The sequence below is a fragment of the Homo sapiens genome, chromosome 5 (assembly GCF_000001405.40).
Source record: "Homo sapiens chromosome 5, GRCh38.p14 Primary Assembly".
Classification (NCBI taxonomy): Eukaryota; Metazoa; Chordata; class Mammalia; order Primates; family Hominidae; genus Homo; species Homo sapiens.
Genome location: NC_000005.10, coordinates 67,962,675 through 67,982,660, shown reverse-complemented (window position 1 = coordinate 67,982,660; position 19,986 = coordinate 67,962,675). Strand labels below are relative to the sequence as shown.

General features: G+C 38.4%; 1 long non-coding RNA gene across 1 annotated transcript in view; it reads left to right on the top strand.

The window, feature by feature from the left end:
- Positions 1-877: 877 nt before the first annotated feature.
- LOC107986420 (uncharacterized) overlaps positions 878-19,986 on the top strand; it is a 39,066-nt gene continuing 19,957 nt past the window's right edge. The window contains exon 1 of the long non-coding RNA XR_001742692.1: positions 878-1,023. This is a non-coding gene — a long non-coding RNA (uncharacterized LOC107986420). The remainder of the gene's footprint in view (positions 1,024-19,986) is intronic.

Genomic DNA, 19,986 nt, shown 5'->3' with positions numbered 1-19,986 from the left:
TCTAGGGTACATGTGCACAACGTGCAGGTTTGTTACATATGTATACATGTGCCATGCTGGTGTACTGCACCCATTAACTCATCATTTACATTAGATATATCTCCTAATGCTATCCCTCCTCCCTCCCCTTACCACACGACAGGCCCCGGTGTGTGAGGTTCCCCACCCTGTGTCCAAGTGTTCATTGTTCAATTCCCACCTATGAGTGAGAACATGCGGTGTTTGGTTTTCTGTCCTTGCAATAGTTTGCTCAGAATGATGGTTTCCAGCTTCATCCATGTCCCTACAAAGGACATGAACTCATCCTTTTTTATGGCTGCATAGTATTCCATGGTGTATATGTGCCACATTTTCTTAATCCAGTCTATCATTGATGGACATTTGGATTGGCTCCAAGTCTTTGCTATTGTGAATAGTGCCACAATAAACATACAGGTGCACGTGTCTGTATGGCAGCATGCTTTATAATCCTTTGGGTATATGCCCAGTAATGGGATGGCTGGGTCAAATGGTATTTCTAGTTCTAGATCCTTGAGGAATCACCACACTGTCTTCCACAATGGTTGAACTAGTTTACAGTCCCACCAACAGTGGAAAAGTGTTCCTGAAGGAGGCTTTTCTATTCCTTAGCAGAAAGTTGAATGGTAAGTACTTAATTGCCAGAAGGAATTAAGTCTTACAAGTTTATTTTCTAATACAAAGAAGCCTTATATTATGATTGTTTGTTTGTACATTTATATTTCCTCTATAACAATGTAAACTTTTGCAGATTTCAAATGGGTTTGGGGAGAATGAAATCTGAGTGCTTATAAAAAGAGGGAGAATCCTGCTAATATCTTCAGAAAGTGACCTTTTATTTCAGAAACTACCTGGACCTTACTAAAGAGACTGCCTCCAAAGAATCTAGGCCACATTTTTGGGGTTTGGAGGATGCTTCGTCCCTCAAGTAGAGAAGAAGTGATCCCAGAAGTGTTTCTTCCACCTAAGACAACACTGGAGGATTTATTGAGATATTGCTGGCAGGTATGAAGATCAGGTTTGTGTATTCTATGTTGTTTTCTCACTCAATGAGAGCTGGTCCTGGTGCTTGTGTGTGTGTTTGAAGTCTGCACAGGAAGTTTGAATCATGAGAGCCTCACTTCTAGATGAATTCCAAGGCCCTGGGAGCATGGGCCAAACCTTGGGCCAAGAGCAATGCAGAATGCTGGCCATTGTGAGAGAAAGTGGGGCAGGAGGGGAGGATGTGTGCTGGCCCAGTGGCAAGGAAGCCAATGGTTTCGTGTCTGGGAGGGGGATGGCAAAGGACATTGGGACACAATTATCATTTAGGATTTTCTTAGCTGGCTGTATTTGTCTAACCTCCAAGGTACCTGGCCATGACCCAGTGTGGTAAGAACATTGCTGTGAGAACCTGGATCACAGTCACCTTGGAAAAAGATGTTGCCTCATTGTGGAAAGATTTTTATAATCTGCAATTTGCAATAGGCCCAGCAATCCTTCCACTGACAGCCTTGAAAAAATTAAAAATAAATTTAGAGTTTATGCATAATAAAAACTTTATGTACCATAAAAAAATTTCTGGGACTGTTCTAGGATCCTTGTCTGAGATACATCTTCTGGAGAGCTTGTGTTTGGTGATGTGTTGATTTAATTTTCCAATCCATGCCAAATGAAATAAATACCTCTATTTTTGATCTGGTAAAATAGAGTGACTGGCCAAAGGGATTTGTGATCAAAGGTTGCACTCCCTCAAAGACCAACAGTTGAATGATGTACTTTAGCATGTTATAGCCTCAGACTAGTTGACTAAAGACAGTTGGGCATATGCTTAACATGAAGACATATAGGAAGGTAACATTAAAATAAATAATTCTGACTATGCCCAGCTAGTCAAGCATTGGCTTTAACTGCATATACTTTTATCTGAAGTGGGTAAGCAGAATTCAGAATGTTCCATTTACAGCATCCCAGTTTGTTAGGATTATACTGACCAAAATTAATTGGATTTGGCTCATGCAACAAGGTCAGCTTAATATTTATTAAGTTTTTGAATTCTTTTGGAAAAACCATACTGAATCAATTCAGATCCAATAAGATGTGTACAGTGTCTGAAAATGAGCTATTCACATTGCTGGATGCCTGGTCCCAAACTCTGCCAACCTCTTATTCTGGAGAGACTTGAAGTTCTTTGTCCTTTAAGATGGCTGTGGCCCTCTCATGTGTATTCTCTATTAGGGACCTGGATCCTAGGTGCAGCAGTAGTCTCACCAGAATTATTGCCAACCATAACTTAATTAACTTAATTTACAGATTCTTCTTTGATGCCACTGTCTTCATAGGTAGGTATACACGTACTCTAGGTAATACAGAATCTCAGAAGTTTCTTAAACATTCTTAATACCAAAGAAACTCAAATGGTTAAAAAAAAAAGCTATCAAAGAAAGACAAGCCTTTTTAACAAAAAAGAAGGAACTGAATTTCAAGTAGAAATAAGTGTTGTTGTCTTAAGGAGTTTGGACCAGTTTCTTCAGATATTGTATATTTGAGAAAAAACTCCAAATGAAAAAGTTAAGAACAATCTTTGAATTTCTAAATTGATGAATTGCAATTCTAACTTGAATAATCTCTGCACGTTAAAGAAACTGGGGAACTGAGACACCAGAGAACTTCAGAAACGTGTGTAGTGGGAGCAAGTAGTGTGTATTTGAGTCACAGTCCTAGGCCAGTGTGTTCAGCCTCAATCTCAAGTTCTTCTAAAAATTACAAATACCAAAGAATTTTAGCCTAAGTTTACTTCATTTTCTTATGTAGGTTATATAAATTTTTAAAAATTCCAACATACTGAAGATGGATACTACCATGAAAAGCCATAGTCTGGTTTGTTTGAAATAGATATATTACCATAGATAAGGATATCCTAATGCCTTTAGTCAGTTAACACAATTGTATAATAGCAAAGTCTAATTGAAACAGAAGCCTGCTGTTTCTACATTTCTGAGCCATCAATGTTAATGGCTATAGCCAGCATTTTCTTATTTATCTTTAGTGGAAATATCTCTCAGTATAAATATTTGTCTACATCTATAGACAACATGCATACAGAAGTCATCTTATATGCTTTAAGTTTCTAGTCTATTTTCTCACTGGTACAATTTTCTATTTAAGTCCTCAGGAAACGTTAGCATTATTACCTAGATTCCGTCAGCATCTTAGAACTGATAGGTCACTGTGTGGTAAGACAAATGCCACATTCCACGAGAAAGAGAAAAAATAAATATTATTTCCAAAGGATCCATCGATCCATCCAGTTTTAAATTAAAATGGTTTCACTAGCTTTCTAACTAAACTACTTTTAAATCAGTGCTTCACTATGGCTGAAACAAATATCAATAGCTTCTTTTGCAATTATACCCAGAAGATTTGAGTAGATGCTTTAATACTATCACTTCCTTTAAAATCACTATTATCCTAATTAAACTGTAACATTTCAGGTAAGCAGATTTAAAAAGTTATTATGGAAATTTTCAAATGTATGCAAAAGTTTGGAAAATAATATAATAAATCGTTATATACCCATTACCAAGCTTTAGCAGTTAGCAACATTTTGGGACAGATTTTTGATGTAATGATTGGTCAGAGGACATCTTAAAGTATAAAGGAGTTTGTGACTTACATAATCTACCCACTGTCAGTTCAGAATTCTGTTTAATAATGAAATATACATTGGGAAAGAATTACTGGGTAAATTGGAGGAGGAGGGATGTTGTCTTCAAAGTCTGAGATAGAGAGATGGCCAAAATAGGGGAAAAATTTATGTATTCATTGTTTCATTCATTTAACTAGCAATTACTAAGCAAGCACCTGTTACATGCTAGATATTGTTAGGCACCCACAGGCAAATATGCTGTCATAAGTTTCAGCCTTCAGCAAGCTGACAGTCTATCAGGGAATGAAAACTAGCGTCACCTTAGAACTGACCACCTCCTTAAAAGGACAGAATGGGCTAGAATAGACAAAGATAGATCTGCTTATTGTTGGATGGAAAACACAAAAACAAAATCTCAGAAAACCATACCACAGTAATAAGAAAATTGTCACAGAAACAACTACAGTTCAGTAGTAAAATAAGGAAGCAGCAATGGCTCTAGCTCAGCGGGTTCCATGTGGGTTATAGAATTTCTGATGGATTGAGCCCAGCTGTAAACAAACCTATGGATTGAATTCAAGCTCTTAAAATGTTAAGGAGGACTGATAAAGACAAAATCTTAAGGGTGTTGTTGCAACCCAGAGAGTAAGAACGAAGTAGGGAGGTTTTTACTAACCCTCAGAAGAAAAATTCTTCTGAGACACACAAAGAGAAGGGAATGTTTATTTGCTGTGTGTGTGTTTTAAGTAAGCAAATCCTGTTTCTGTCTTTGAGCATTCACCAGTGGAAGTGTCCTCTATCTGCTGAGTGAATGAGGAACAGCTTGCCATATTATCTTAACTACAGCAAATGCATTTAAAAACGACTGGTTTCATTTTGGGGCAAATAGTGGGATACAGAATAAGAAAAAGGAAAAAAAAAGAGAAAAGAATGAAGGAAAGGGAAGAAAAGAAGAGAATAGAGAATGGATGAATAAGCAAATAAAGGCTATGATGGATGAATAAGTAAATAAAGTTTCACCAATTATTAGAAGGGCAGATCTCTATAGTGGTTAAAAGCTTAAACTAGGCAGCCTAAATGCCTGGGTTCAAATTTTCCTCTACCATTAATTAGCTGTGTGTTAAGCAAATTTTTTAACTTCTTTGTGCCTCAACTCTCTCATCTGTAAAATAGGGATAATAATAGTTCCTAGAACATAATGAGGTTGCTGGCAGGATTATTTAACACATGGGAGGGTATCTGTCATATAGTCAGAACCACACCAATGCTTGCTGTTTATCCTTTTGCTCTTTCCTCACAATTCCTGTTACAAACTGTAATTTATTCTTTATCTCATTGCCTTAGTTTGGTCTCATGCATGCTTAATTATACTTATAAACCTTCAGATCACAAAATATTATCAGATTTTCCTTAGAAGGCCTTTGTCAGATAAGGCCTCTGGCCTTTAGTTTTCGCAATCCTCTAATTGTCATCGAAAAATAAATCCCAACAAAAGAAATAAAATGTGGTGTGTATGTGTCGGGGGGTGAGAGAGACAGAGAGCATGAGAGAACCAGACATTCTGAAGTTTAGGAAGCAAAACTAGGGCAGAAATAGAAACCACAAGTATGGACATATTCAAACTAGAATTATACAGGAACTTAACAGGAAAGAATATTATGTCCTGTTGTGGCTTATCCACAAGTTGGAGTTCTGGGCCAATCCTGGAGATTCTAAGGCTGTTTTCAACCCATAAGTTCCTGTGTTTTAGAAGAGTCAAATGACAGACAGACCAACTTCCTAAAGTAATGACTCTATGTTCTCTATCGCAGAGATATTAGAGAAAGACTATTTTTTTTTTTTCAGTTTTGTAGGATGCTGTGATGACAGATGGCCACAAGTTTCTGAAATGGATCTCAGTTCTCCCTCAGGGCAAAGACCTTCCTTAGAACTATTTAAGGATATAGTTCCTCTTTTTTTCATGTATTCACCCCTTTACACTCTGGGGGCTAGAAGAGTATCTGTTTATAGTAAAATGGGCCTCATGATGAGTTGATTAAATGACGCAACAGAAAAACTTCCCTCTCCACTGCCAGCAGACCTCTTACCTGCTGCCATTCTCCAGCCACCCCCTCTGGGAAAGCTGGCACGGTGGGCTGTGACGATAATTCACGGATGTCTTTGTTGGCCAGCGCTCTAAGAAAGAACTGGCCTGGCATGTCTGAAGCTGTTCATTCAGTGTCATTTGAGGAGTACAGGAAAGGACATCTAATGTATTGCCCTAATTGATCTATGAGGAGCTGGAGATTCCACTAAAGACAATTCAGTTAACTGGATGAGCATTTCTCTAGCCTAGCAGTTCTCTGTTAGAAAGCAGCTACTCAATTGCCTAACCCCTTTAGAATCCTGACGTGTAAAGACAAACCATCAGCTTGTATTCCTCTATGAATCTAGGTAATGAGACACCACAGAGACTGGGCATCTGGAAAGGAGGTTCAGCCAAAAGAAGGAAAGTGGAAAAAGGAGAAAATGATGGGGACAGGAAAGATCATCTTGCCTCCCAGACAATGTAGTTTAGGGGAAATCTCCATTCTGTCCTAACAAGTTTGCAAGCTTTCATTCATAATTTCTCTGGGGCTCATTTTCTTCATATGCAAAACAAAAATGATGCTCATGTCACAAAGATGTGTGTCATGAAGTTGCTGAGAGGAAGGCAGGATATGATAAAGAGCTTTCTAAAATTTTCCACTTAAGTGTTCCTAATAGCTGAGCATCAACGTGTACTTTGGAGGATCAAAAGGGTGGATAGTGGGATGCTCACTGAAGAGATAGCCTCAAGACCTTCTGCAAAAGTAAAGTGTCTGAGAAAACTCAAGTTTTATTGTATAAATGTATGGCTAGTTTGTAGTCTACTCAAAAATATGTTTGTGTTTAAGATAAAAAGAATATGAAAATTCTTCTTTGCAAATCTTTAAGTAAAATTTTGTCTTGAGATGATTAATTGTATTTATCCTATAACTTTATAGATCCCTTGAGACTCCCTGATGCGAGAATCTTGAACATAATGCATATAAGGCCTCTGGTACAAAGTGGCTCCTTGACACAGCCTAGTGTTAGCTTTTATTACAATTATTGTTATTTTTGTAGATATTATTCATCTGCATCTCTGCTTAGGGATGGACCTAGTGAGAACCTACACACTTTCCTCATGAACCCTGGACAAATTGGTCTGTTTCCATTCATTTTCATTTCTGATGTTGTGTTTATCCTATTTCTCTGAGATTAACTATTCTTCTGTGTGGCTTTTTTTGCTAACACGTAAATCTATAGTAGGAGCTTAGAGCTGTTGGTTGTTTATTTCTTTCTCCAGTTTCTTCATTCACTCACTCACTCACTCACTCACCCTCTCAATCAATCAATTACTTATCCAGTCAACCAAGTACCTCTCTCAGTAAGGCAATGTAGAGGCATTATTAGAAATACAAAATATGAGATAAAATTCTCATTACTAACCTAAGAATTCATCATCCAAGGCCTTGCAGTGCCAGGTTGCAAAGCAAAGCAAGTTACCATAAGATATAAAACTAATAAATGGACCATTTATAAAATGAATTGATCCACCTGAGTATTCTTTGTTTAACTCTAATATCTACCTCCACTCATAATGTCAATGTGTATTTGTTAATAGTGTTTTGATGACCTACTGATATTATAAATAGCAGAAAATACATTGGAAAAACAGTGCAAAAAAAGAAACAAAATGACAAATTTAGAAAATATTTAGTATTTCATAAGAATAATGAAATTGATGTTGGAGACATTCAATCAGATATAATGCTATTGACAAATTAAAATCCGGCAGGCTTTTATCAATTATTGAAGAAAAGAAAATTGATAAAGTTGATAACATGTTGGGGCTTCTAAAGAGAAAGCAAATTTTCCTTGAGAAAATTGATGAATCATCTCATGCTTTTGCAAAAATTATTCCTTGTTATGAGCAAACTGAAAAAACCCAAATGCAAGGTAAATTAGTTGTATTGTGCTATGATCCAATTTTAATAGATAAATTATGTGAATTATTTGTCCTAAGATTTAGCACATGGCCATAATAATATTCTAAAGTTTATAAAGTGCAAGGTAAATAAATCATCTTCATAATTTTTAGTTTTAATATTCATATCCATATTTAAATCAAACATTTCATTTCCCCCTACTAGTTCCTATGTCCACACTGGTCTCTGTTTTAAATGGATTCAGTTTAAGCTGTCTTTTTCTGGTATTAACTAGAAACATGGGGTAATAAGAACCTCTTATATGGGCTCATATGTTACATTTAAATAACACTTTGCTGTTTACAAACACTTTCACAGGCCTTGTCTCACTTAATTCTCACAAGAACCCCATGATTAATTGCTTTTTCCATATTACATAAAATAATACTTATGATATGGTAAGCTGCCAGTTTTCTTAAACTTTTAACCCTTTTAATAACCACAAAAATCTCATGTCCCCTAGAAATTCTAATCTACTCCATTTCTGAGGGAAACAAGCCTTTCATCTCTAATTAAGCCTCAATACTTTAAAAAAAAGTCCATTTCTAAAGGCATTCTTTAGCCAAGACTTGGTCAAACCTTACTTTCTATAATTTTTGTTACAAAATAACTTCTGTTCTAAAACATAAAATTACAATATTTAATATCTGCTTAAAATAATCTGCAATCCCAGGTTTCTGGCACATGTTACTGAATAGTGTACCTGTCCCTTTCTACAACTGATTATAAATCACTTGTGCAATACCACAGAGTCATTAAATAGCCAAGTTGGCCCTGAGACTTAGACCTGTGAGTCTGTATCAGTGCTCTTCTCACTACAGGAGATCCCTTCAAGTTCCATGACATTTAGAAGCCATTGTGGCCTACATGTATGGAATTGACCCATAGTTCCAGCAAGGAAGAGAAAACTGAGCACATGAGCCTCCTTATTAAACCATTCCCTGGAACCTCCGAGGACTGAGATATTGCTATGGCATGGAGAAATTAGACAAAAGGTACCAGGCCTAGATGTTAAAAGATGGGCATGATTCAGAAAGGACCAGTGTTTCTAGACAATAGAGAAAATAAGGCAGAAGAGGAAGGTCTAGACCACAGTTTGAGGTGTTCTGATAGGCAAAGAGGTATAGACTTTCAGGAGGTTAGGGTAAGGTAGGGAGGACATTTTGGCATTTGAACAGGATTGTGAAATAGTGAAAGTAACCTGATGATTTTATATAGTGGGGAAGAGTCCTACGAGAAAAAAGTGCAGATTGAGACCAATGAGAAGGGTACAAAAATATATGTAAACTAAAGTGTCTGAGAGCTGGAAAGGTCTTAGTCATTCTCTAATTCAACATTTTTCCAGTGCATGAATCCTCCTTTACTCTCTTTAATAGATAAAAAGACCAGAAAAATGGAAGACCCAAATAAGGATGATGGAATGGAAACACCAAGAATGCAATGAGCGCAAATTTTATCACAAAGAGAGAAGTGTCTTTTTAAAGTTAGCAAGGATGATCCTGTCTTCTCATCCTGCTGCCTCTCAAACCCTTGGTCAGCTCTTTGGAATTTCTCTCTAGCTTCCCTTTCCTCCCACTGGAGTAGAATCTATCTATTGAGGATGGAGCTCCCTAGATTTTGGTAGAAGGTATTATCAACCTGAATCACACTGTCCAGTGACTGAGTATACCCTGAATCTGGGAATATCACTTGCTAAGTGGTTAATGGGCCATTCTTGAGGCATGTGGGATCTTTGCGCCCAGGCTTATCACAGTCCATACCTATCTCAGCTCTGGGCAGGGGTTATTATGGTATGGTAGCTGACATTTTCAGAGACGAATATGGTGGGCCATTGACATCTGAAACCCAAGAGATATTCTGTAGTTGTTACTAACGGCTTACAGAGACTTCTACCTTTGTCCGCTTCTGTCATCTGTGTATGAGTCTGTTCTCACATTGCTATGAAGAAATACCTGAGACTGGGTAATTTATAAAGAAAGGAGGTTTAATTAGCTCACAGTTCTGCAGGCTGTGTAAGAGGCATGATGCTGGCATCTGCTCCGCTTCTGGGGAGGCCTCAGGAAACTTACAACTGTGGTAGAAAGCAAAGTGGGAGGGAGACTGATACGGTTTGGATCTGTGTCCACACCCACATCTCATGTTCATTTGTAAATCTCAGTGTCAGAGATAGGGTCTGGTGGGAGGTGATTGGATTATAGGGCTGGAGTTCCCATGAATGGTTTAGCACCATTTCCCCTTGGTACTGTGTAGTGAGTGAGTTCTCATGAGATCTGGTTGTTTAAAAAGAGTGTAGCACCTCCCCCCACCTCTGTTTCCCTCCTGTTTCAGCTATGTAAGACATGCCTGCTTCCCCTTCACCTTCTGCCAAGATTGTGTTTCCTGAGGCCTTCCCAGAAGCCAAGCAGATGCTGCTGTGCTTCCTGTATAGCCTGTGTAACCATGAGCCAATTAAGCCTCTTTTCTTTATAAATTACCCAGTCCCAGGTATTTCTTTGTCGCAGTTCAAGAACAAACTAATACAGAGGCGTCTCACGTGATGGGCACAGGAGTAGGAGAGAGAGAGAGGGGAAGTGCTACACAGTTTTATACAACCAGATCTGTCAAGCTCTCAGTCACTCACTGTCATGAGACTGGAACCAACAGGATGGTGCTAAACCATTCATGAAGGATCCAACCTCATGATCCAATCACCTCCCACCAGGCCCCACCTCCAACACTGGGGATTATAATTTGACATGAGATGTGGGTGGGGCACAGATCAAATACCAATCTGACTTTGTCTAGCTTTTATTATCAGTCTTTTTGCAATCAGAGCCATGAGGAAAAAGGGAAAAATGGGTAAGAAAGTACATGTTTGGCTTTCATCAAGTGTCACTCTTACTTCCAAAGGTTGTCATTGCATCATGTCTAGGCTTCCGCAGATAGTCAGTCTAAACATATGGCTAAAGCCACATTTTCTATAATCCTTATTCGTGTATTATTTATTGGATCTTATTTTATGCCAGGAACTGGGAAGGCAAAGACAAAAAGAGAAGTTCCCTTTTTACAAACTGATTTCAACGCTTGTTAACTAAAAGACTAATAGGAGGAGAGACATTCAGAAGATAATGACATTAGAATATTGTGCTGGCCGTAAAGAACTACATTCTTTAATGTACTAGGTTCATTTTTTATTTTTAGGGAAAGTGCCCTAGAGTTAAGAGGAATTTGGTTTCAGCTTAAACCTATTTCAGTTACTTGCAACTTTATTTTGAAAAATGCTTGGGCATGCTAAATTTGAGTCCAACAACATTGCTCATGTTCTTCTTTACTCCCTCCAAGGTGAACTTTTTTTCTTTTCTTGGAAAGGTAGTAATGAGGGGCAGGAGGAGTGGGCAGATGATATTTCTATTGCATTTTGCATTGCCCATTCCATTCGAGGAGTTATGCAACCAAGGGAAAAAAAATGCATTTTCCACTCTTGAGGCTCTTTGATCACTTTTGCTCTTACATAACTCCCTAACAGCTGGAGCTGTAAACTTTAAAATTGGCAGGAACATAGTTCATATTGCGAAAGGAAATTCAACCCAATTGAAGAGAAACAGCTAGATATTTTTAAAGCGATCCCAGTATTTGTGTTCTTCAACATTTAGTGAGTGCTGGTGACGTTTGGGGGCATTAAGCTGGCTCCTTGCCCAGAGATGTCACCATCTTGACTGGGGGTCCTATCTGCAGGGCCTGGCTCAGGAGAATGGGGCTACTTTCTTTCTTTCTTTCTTTCTTTCTTTTTTTTTAAATTACTAAGCTATCTCATTCTGTAGCTTCTTTACCCACAGACAACCAAAGAAATACTTGTTCTAAGGTTTGGTGCTGCCAGAAGTAAATTCACACCAACCTGCCAAGGCCTCCTCCAGCTGGCTTGCTTGGAAAATATGTCTGTTCTTCTCAACAATATCATTCCCTTCACCTACCTTGCAAAAGGTAGCCTGCACTACCTTGTCCTCAAATATACCCCTTTCCTCCCTTTTACCTACCTCTTTCTCCTCCTCCTTATTTTATTTAGTTTTTTTTTTTTTTTGAGTTTTAGATTTGAGCTTCTTATCCACTATGGTGGAAGTAAATCTGTATGAAATCATATATCTGTTGCTACAACCTCTGCATCACATTGTAAAAAGAGTAAACTCATTAGAAACCCACTGCTTCAAAATCAACAGCTTCTTCAGTGCTGCATTAACACCTACATATAGTTAACAAATGTTGAAATCCGTTTGTAAAAAGGCTATTAAACTTCTAAGTGGCTAAAATAAAATTAAAGGCAAAATTGTCTTTTTCACAGTGAACAGTCTGCTGGCATCACTGATACTGGATGATCATTCAAATATTTGGATTTCTGAAGTCATGAGAAATCCAGGCACCTAACTTCTTTCAGTTATCCTTTCTTTCCCATCGAAGAACTAGATGTATGGAATTACACTTCTCGTAGCAATTGTTGCCTTAAGAGAGACTCCAACTCTGTATCTCAAGGAATGGTAGGCCACTGGTGAGAAAGGTGACATTTGTCATTTTGATATATTTTGGTGCAGTTGCTGCTGCCTAAAAAACCTCTTTTCTGAGGTACTCCAGGACGGCTACTCTGTATAGAGTGGGGGTCACCCCTGCAGGATGATGGTTTTCAGGGGTCAATGAGTCCTTCCTATGGGGAAGCACAGCATGGCTTCCTGCAGCAGGAAGCTGCCTTCGTCTTGGCTTTCTGGAGGCCTCCTCAGCCTTGCTCACTGCCATTTTGAATTTGGCTGATGTGCAAACACAAACAGAAAGGGCGAATTCAATAGCAGCGAGGGCTTGTCTCCTATTCTTGCTCCACCATGATTCAAACTTCTTCCACTCTGGTTTTAAGCAAAACCAGGTTCTTATTATTCTGAGGTACGCTACATTTTATTTTCTCTACTGCCTTTTCCAGTGCATACCCATCTTTTTTTTCTTCCTTTTATGGTCTTGAATTTTTATCTATGCCTGTTATAATAACTCTTCCTGATTCCAGAAAGGTGCAAGACCTGGCTTTCATCTATTTCTGAGCATGGAAACCATTTATTACAAGAAATGCCTGAGGCACTGAAGGCCATCAGGGAGAACTAGGTCTTCTGAGTACTGTGTTTGAGTCACTCTGGTATCCGTCCAGGGTCAGGTCAGTCTTCTGGAAACATCTTGAGTAGATTTGCAGGAAGAAACAGGTGTGGCTTCTCAGGTAGACAGTAAGAGGATAGTTATTTTTAGCTTTTGAAGAATTTTGATGTAATGGAAAGATACGTGAGAGAAGAGGTAGTTATCTTTTTATCCAAATGATATATATGTTGCTTATTCCAGTGGTCACAAACTGCTCATTTCTTTAATGGTTGAAGAGTTAATTATATTTTTGGCTTTTTTTTTTTTTGTCACAGAAATGTTGTTGAGCCAAGCACAGGTATGAGAATCAGATATACCTTGTAGTACAGAAATAGCTCATAGGTCAAGAAATAAATCCTTCATGAGGTTTCAACTGGCAGGTGCTTAATAACTGGTAAATATGACTAGTTGAGATGCAATGATGGGAACAAAGATGATGCTCCTTATCACATCGTGGCATTTGGCATGAATTTGGAAATGATGATTGGCATTGCTAAACAGCAGTTTGCATGCAAATGCAAGGCATCTTCTAGCCATTGTCTCGACAGCTCTCCTACTCAATCTAGCTATGACTCTGGCAGAAAGGAGCTGCAACATCAGAGAATTTGCTGGCATTGTTAGAAGATCATTTATGACCATGCAACTTTCTTTCAATGGGAGGATTTTTGGCTAAAATAATAAAAAGCTCATGTATTTAAAAAGAAAAAGGTGTGGGTCTAGTTCTTCTTACTTACTAGAGAGTTGGTGCTTATAGAAATCTTTACCAAACATAACTTCCTTGGGGCTTTCTTTTTTTTTGAGTTTTTTTTTGTCCTCACTTTAAAGAATCCAAGAAAGAACTTGATGTGAAGTGAGATTTTTAATGTTTTCAATGCCTTATCTTTATTTTCCTTCAGATAACTCTCTCTCCAATGATGATTATGATAATAACAGCTGATTTTGAGTTTTTCTGGTCACATTGTATGATTAATCCTCATAAAAGTTTATGCTGTTGCTAATGTTATTCCCATTTTATGGACAAATAAACTAAGGCACTGACCAATTTAGTAATGTGCCCAAGGTCATACAGCTAATAAAAGTGCTATGGAAAGATTCAGATCTAGGTTTTCTCACTTCAAACCAAACTTATAACTCAATCTGATGCTATTTCTCTTTTTAGAGACAACAATAATTATTGTTTAATCAATGAAAATTTATGAAACTCTTACTGTGTGACAGATTCCGAACTAGGCATTGAGGATATTGAAACAGGCAAAGCAAACATGGTTACTATCATCATGGAACTTAGAATCTAGCAAGAGGGATCAACATTGGGCTAATCATTAAATTATATAATTAAAAATATGATAAGTCATGATAATGTAACAGGGGACCTATTTGCTCTATGAATAAGTGGCATTTTAAGGTGAGATCAGAAATCACCTGAGATAGCAAGGTGAAGGCAGGGATAGGAAAAGAGGTCAGAGGGAACATTGGTCAAAGACAAAACCTGGTAATTTCCATTGTTCCAATGAATTTACAATGACCACATTTAAAGCATAATTTTTCTCAACACTTTCTTTAAAATGCGGAATAAAATTTGAATGTTTATATATACAAGATGGTCATAACTGGACCAATTCTAGTTAGGGAACTAGCTGCTTAGTCATAAGACTGAGAATAGGGTATCTTATGACAATGGAGGTACATAAAGTCAGAAATGCCCTTGGAAAGATTCCAAAGAGAAACTTCAAGAACCCGTAAGTGACTCTGTCCAATGGAAAAAGACACACATAATTGTTGGTTGGGGAGAGCCTTTATTAAGTATCAGGCCTTGTCTGTAACTTCTCTAGTTTTGCTCAGCTGTCATGTTCTGCTCAACGCTGAAGACAGCTCTCCAGGAAGACTGCCTCGTGCCCCATTCTCGCAGGCCTCAATGACTTCATTGGAGAGAAGCTCCTGAAGCTCCGTCACATCTTTACCCTTGCTTCCCTTGGAGCAAAAGCACCGGTCTACCAAAAAAGCAGTAGCATGGGAGAAAAATGGAAACTATGAAGTTAAAATTGGAATCTTTAAAAATGTAGAACATCTGTACAGCACAAAACTTTATAAGTACAAGTTTTAGGGCCTTCTCAAGGGAAACATTGAAGCAGAATTCTCCTCTGAACTAACACTACATGTTCTGCCTCTTATAAAAAGGCTCTTAACCTACCCCCCAGCATTCAGAATGTCCATAAACTTGGTTGGGAAAAAATTATATCTTATTTTCTTTAACCTCCAACAATTGTAAATAAAACTTAGCATTTCTTTCAATTATGGATGTAGGGAACAAACTATTTGGTTGGTGCAAAAGTAATTGTGATTTTTGGCAACACTTTTAATGGCAAAAACCTCAATTACTTTTGCCCCAACCTAATACATTAGTATTAGTGCTACCTATGACTTCACCACTAATAGAAAGTAGATATTTTTATACTATTTTATGGTTGTTTGTTGTTATCATTTACTCTCAGCACTAATTCTAAATTTATGATAGCTATTAAAGCCATTGCTAGGTCTTATTATTTAATGTGTTAGTAAGATATAGTCATCCATATATACACAATATTGGCATTAATTTGTCAATTTGTCCCATAAATTTGTGACAATAATATTCATATTATGTTATATAATACATATTATAATAATATTCATCCATATGTGGATTCATCCATATATTGTCACAAATTTATGTTCAGAAAATATTTTGATAAGCATTTTTAATGTAATTAGTTTCTTATGTAATCCTTTGTATTTTATTTTCTGCATTTAAAAACTGATTCGGAAAAGGGTTCATGGACTTCAAAAGACTGCCCAAGGGGTCTGTGTTCTGGAAAAGTTTAAGAATGCTGCCTTAAGGTAATGATTTACAGAGGAGACACTTGTCACACATATGCACTGTTTATTACCAGCACTCCCCACCCTAAACTCTAGACTTACTAAGTGAGTGTAGAGGGTTTTAGCACCATGTACAACACAGAACATTTTCCCTTCTGAAGGTGAGCAAAGCAGGTGGTGAGAAAGCCAGGTAGGGCCTGGGCTTCTGGATGACTGGAGTCTCCTTTGAGCTTGGCAGGTCCAGGTTCCATAGCTGAAAATTTTCACCAAATACAGGTATGACTGCTTTGTTGAAGTGACTGCCCCATTTTAGTTAAAGAGGAAGATGTCTGATTTTATGGAGTTTTAGAGGACTCTCTTATACTTTAGGGACCAGCATCAAATCATAGGCTAATAGCCTTAATATACCAAAAGTCATGCAAATCAATAACAAGAATACACCATCAGACAAACAATATATACATAGGTAATTAATATGACTAAATACTATATGGGAAAAAGTATTTGGCCTCACTGACAACTGAAGAAATGCAGACAAAAGCAAGATTTTAAAAATGCCTATCAATTTGGTAAAGTTTTAAAAAGCTTGACAATACTTGGTTTGATAAAGATCTTGGGAAATGAGCAATCATGCCTTGTTAACGGGAATGTAAATTACTATACTTGTTTTGAAAGTTCAGTTTAGCAATATTTATTAAAATGCTCCTTGTGCATACCCTCTGACCCAACAATCTCATTTCTAGGAATTTGCCCCAAGGAGTTCATCATAAATATGTAAACAAATGTATGTACTAGAATGTTCATTACCTTCTTATATAGTGGCCATCACCAACCAAATGAACAACTCAAACCTGGAGACAGCCTAAATTTCTTATATATTGTAGCAAGTTAATTCATTGAGATATTTTGCTCTATCTTCCTTGTGTGTTATCGCCTGTTCCAAGAAAGTGGGCAGGCTTCCTTGCCTTAGGGGAGGTATGTGTTGTACAACAGGAAACAGAAGTTGCCGCCTAAGAACTGTCTTCCTTGGCTTTTGTTTTCTGGAAATTGAGTTCATATTGAAGTGGTTAAGCCAGGGAGAAAAATGAGACAGAATGAGAGCAGCAAAATGGGGAGGCCTCCAGAGAGGACACAGGGCTCTGTGGGTCTCATGTGTTGAGGGGACCCATGGTCTGCTCCTGCACATTGCCCTGGGATGGGAAAGGAATGGGGTCACCTAGCAATGCTCAACCAGTTGGTGGAGTCAGAGGCTCCAGGCTACTGGATTTCAAAGAAACATGACGGCTTAATGAATTTGCATTTCTAAAGTGCCTAGAGTGGAGTAAAGATCAGAGGGATTTCTCTGAATATATAAGACTCTTTGGGGAGGTGGGTGTTGGGGGCGAAGGGAGCCTCAATGATGATTGCCTTTGAATTTTGCCCCAGTCTGGAGGGAGGTGGAGAATAGAATTTAATTTGATTTAAAGAAGTAACCAGGCTGGGTGCAGTGGCTCACACCTGTAATCCCAGCACTTTATGGGAGGCCCAGGCAGGTGAATCACTTGAGGGCAGGAGTTCAAGATCAGCCTGGCCAACATGGCAAAACCCTGTCTCTACAAAAATACAAAAATTAGCCAGATGTGGTGGCGGGCACCTGTAATCTCAGCTACTCGGGAGGCTGAGGCAAGAGAATCACTTGAACTTGGGAGGCAGAGGTTGCAGTGAGCCAAGACTGCATGACTGCACTCCAACCTGGGTGACAGAGTGAGACTCAGTCTCTAAAAAAGTAATAATAATAAAATAATTAAGAAAATAAAGAAGTAACGAAATGTGGCAATTCTTGCATACCTGTTTTCCAACTTGTGTTGAATCTGCTACAATATATTCCTGCTAGCTAAATCTCTTTCCTAATAACTCTGTGGCCAGAAGGCTCACAAGGGGCAAGAAGATCATGCCTGTCCCATGATACACACAGTCTCATGTCTGCTGAGGAGAATTTTCTTTCTATAAGGGCAATATCCAATGAAACTACAAATATACAGAGGTTACCAAAGGTGTACTGATGTGGCTGTTACAGAACCACGTGCAAACTGCAATGCAGTTTGTGAAAGGAAAGTAAAAACTTGGGACTCCAACTAGCTATGCCAAAAGGAAAAAATTAAGCTGAATCATGCAAGAAATTGCCTTTCCTTTTGTTCCTAAGCAGATAGCTACAGATAAAAGGCTAAATATATCCACAAGTGATAACTCTTATGTTCACCTTACTTTATGTAAGGTGCCGATTTACTGAGTGTGAGAGGAATACATAGTTGACTGTTCCCCTACCTGCTCCTTTTCTCTTACAACAAGTGGATTACAAACCCTCTGTCTTTCCTCTCCAGCCTGCTTTTCCCCTTTAAATACTGAAGCCCTCAAATTCATCTTTAGAGAAAGGCACAGACGACACATCGTTTCTATGATCCGTGTTCTTTTCTTCCAGGCTTGTCCTTAACCTTGGCAAAATAAGCTAAATGACTGAGACCTATCTCAGATAATTTTTGGTTTGTAAATTCCAAAGAACTAGCTCTAATGTTCAAAGAACAGAGTAAAACACCTTATGGGTGGAGGAAATGGGAGGTTCAAGGAACCTGTTTGTCCACTTTTCACTCAGAAGACAGAAATTGGATCAGAGCCTGTTCCAGCCCAGCCCCAGGTGAGGGATGAGGGCTGCCATGGGGTATGCATTGGACATTGCAAAGGAGCTGCACAACTGCAGAGCTTCTACTCCTTTCAAGCAAGTCAGGACAGAAGGGTTGTCCCTTGGGAGCCTGGTCAAGCATTGGTTCAAACAAGTTGAGTGTCATAAAGTATTTAAAGTCAGGAGAGAACAGTGTGCCATTGAAACAGTCTTTTGAGGCAGAGTTTGAGAACCTCAAACTAAAGCCACCCTCACATGGCTAACAGGAATTCTAGATAGAAATGTAGTTATAACTAAACAATAATCAGGCTGCACGTTGACCTACTTCCTTGTAACTGAAAGTCACATAACTCTAAATGCTGACCGTGTGTACCCTCACTGATCCTATAGATAGGATTTCTGACAAGAGAGTCATAAGGCTTTTGTTTAGGGTAGATAGGATTTCTGACATTAGAAGCATAAGGCTTTTATTTAAGAGTTGCTTAAGAGGTCTCACAGATTCTAAATTCTAGCGAAAGAGCCGAAACAGCTGATGCCAACCAGTTTGAAGACCCCTATAGAGAAACAGAATCAGCATGAGAATACAGTTTCTTCATCTTCCTGTCCCACGGCTTCAACCTGCACTCTTCAACCAATCAACAATCTCCACACATTGGCCCACTCCAAAACCCCTAAAACTCCAGCTTCAGACTCCTGAGGAGATGGATTTGAGGTTTCCTCCCATCTCCTCATTCAGCAGGGCCTACAATTAAACCTTTTTCTCTGCTGCAACCTGGTGTTTCCATGGATTTAATTTGCTGTGCACATTGGGCAACAAAACCAGAAAGCCCCCTTTGCCTCTAATTCTGGAACTAGACCTCTGGGGTTAGATTGAATGCAAATCTGATTTACCTTTACAAACTAAAACTGGTCACACATGTCTATGCCTAGAACTGAAATTCATGCATGGATCAGGAAAACAGAGTTAGAATATGAAGGACAACTAACGCCGTGCTTTCATTTCTTGGTTGGGGCTAAGGTGAGCAAAACCAGTGACTGGATTGTTTCTTTGCTTTCCATCTTCCTTGACCTATGCTTATCTTGGTGTAAAGCAAAAGCCCCATGCAATGATTATTTCAGAATGACACACGTAAGAAAAGCAGAACTCAATCAACTTTTATGCTGTGCTAAGTACTAGCATGCATTATCTTATTTAATTCTTTTAACATCTCTCTGAGGGGCATATGACTTTTTAAGGAAGAGGAAACTGAGGCTTAACAAGATCAGGTAATTTTCACAAGGGTCTCAAAGCTAATTGGTGTCATACATGATATGTGAATTCACATCTGAGTCCAGAGTCAAATCTTTTAACCATTATAGTACGCTTCTTTTCACTTATCTTTTAAACACCTGATGGAGGGAAAAAACCTGTTTTTCTTTGCTTGGGTTTTCTTGTTTATTTTTTAATATGCCCAAAAAGGACTCAGTTTTTTTTCTCCTGGGGTTATGCATAGATCCAGAGTAAATGGATTTAGTGTTAACCGAAAGCCCTGAGCTTTTCATCCAAGGTACCTCTTATTGGTTACAAATGTGCCAAAATTTTCAAGTTTGAGAAGCCCAGAGCTCCCAGGATGGCCACCTCACTCATGAGCAACCTCATCTCTCTGCCTCTGTGT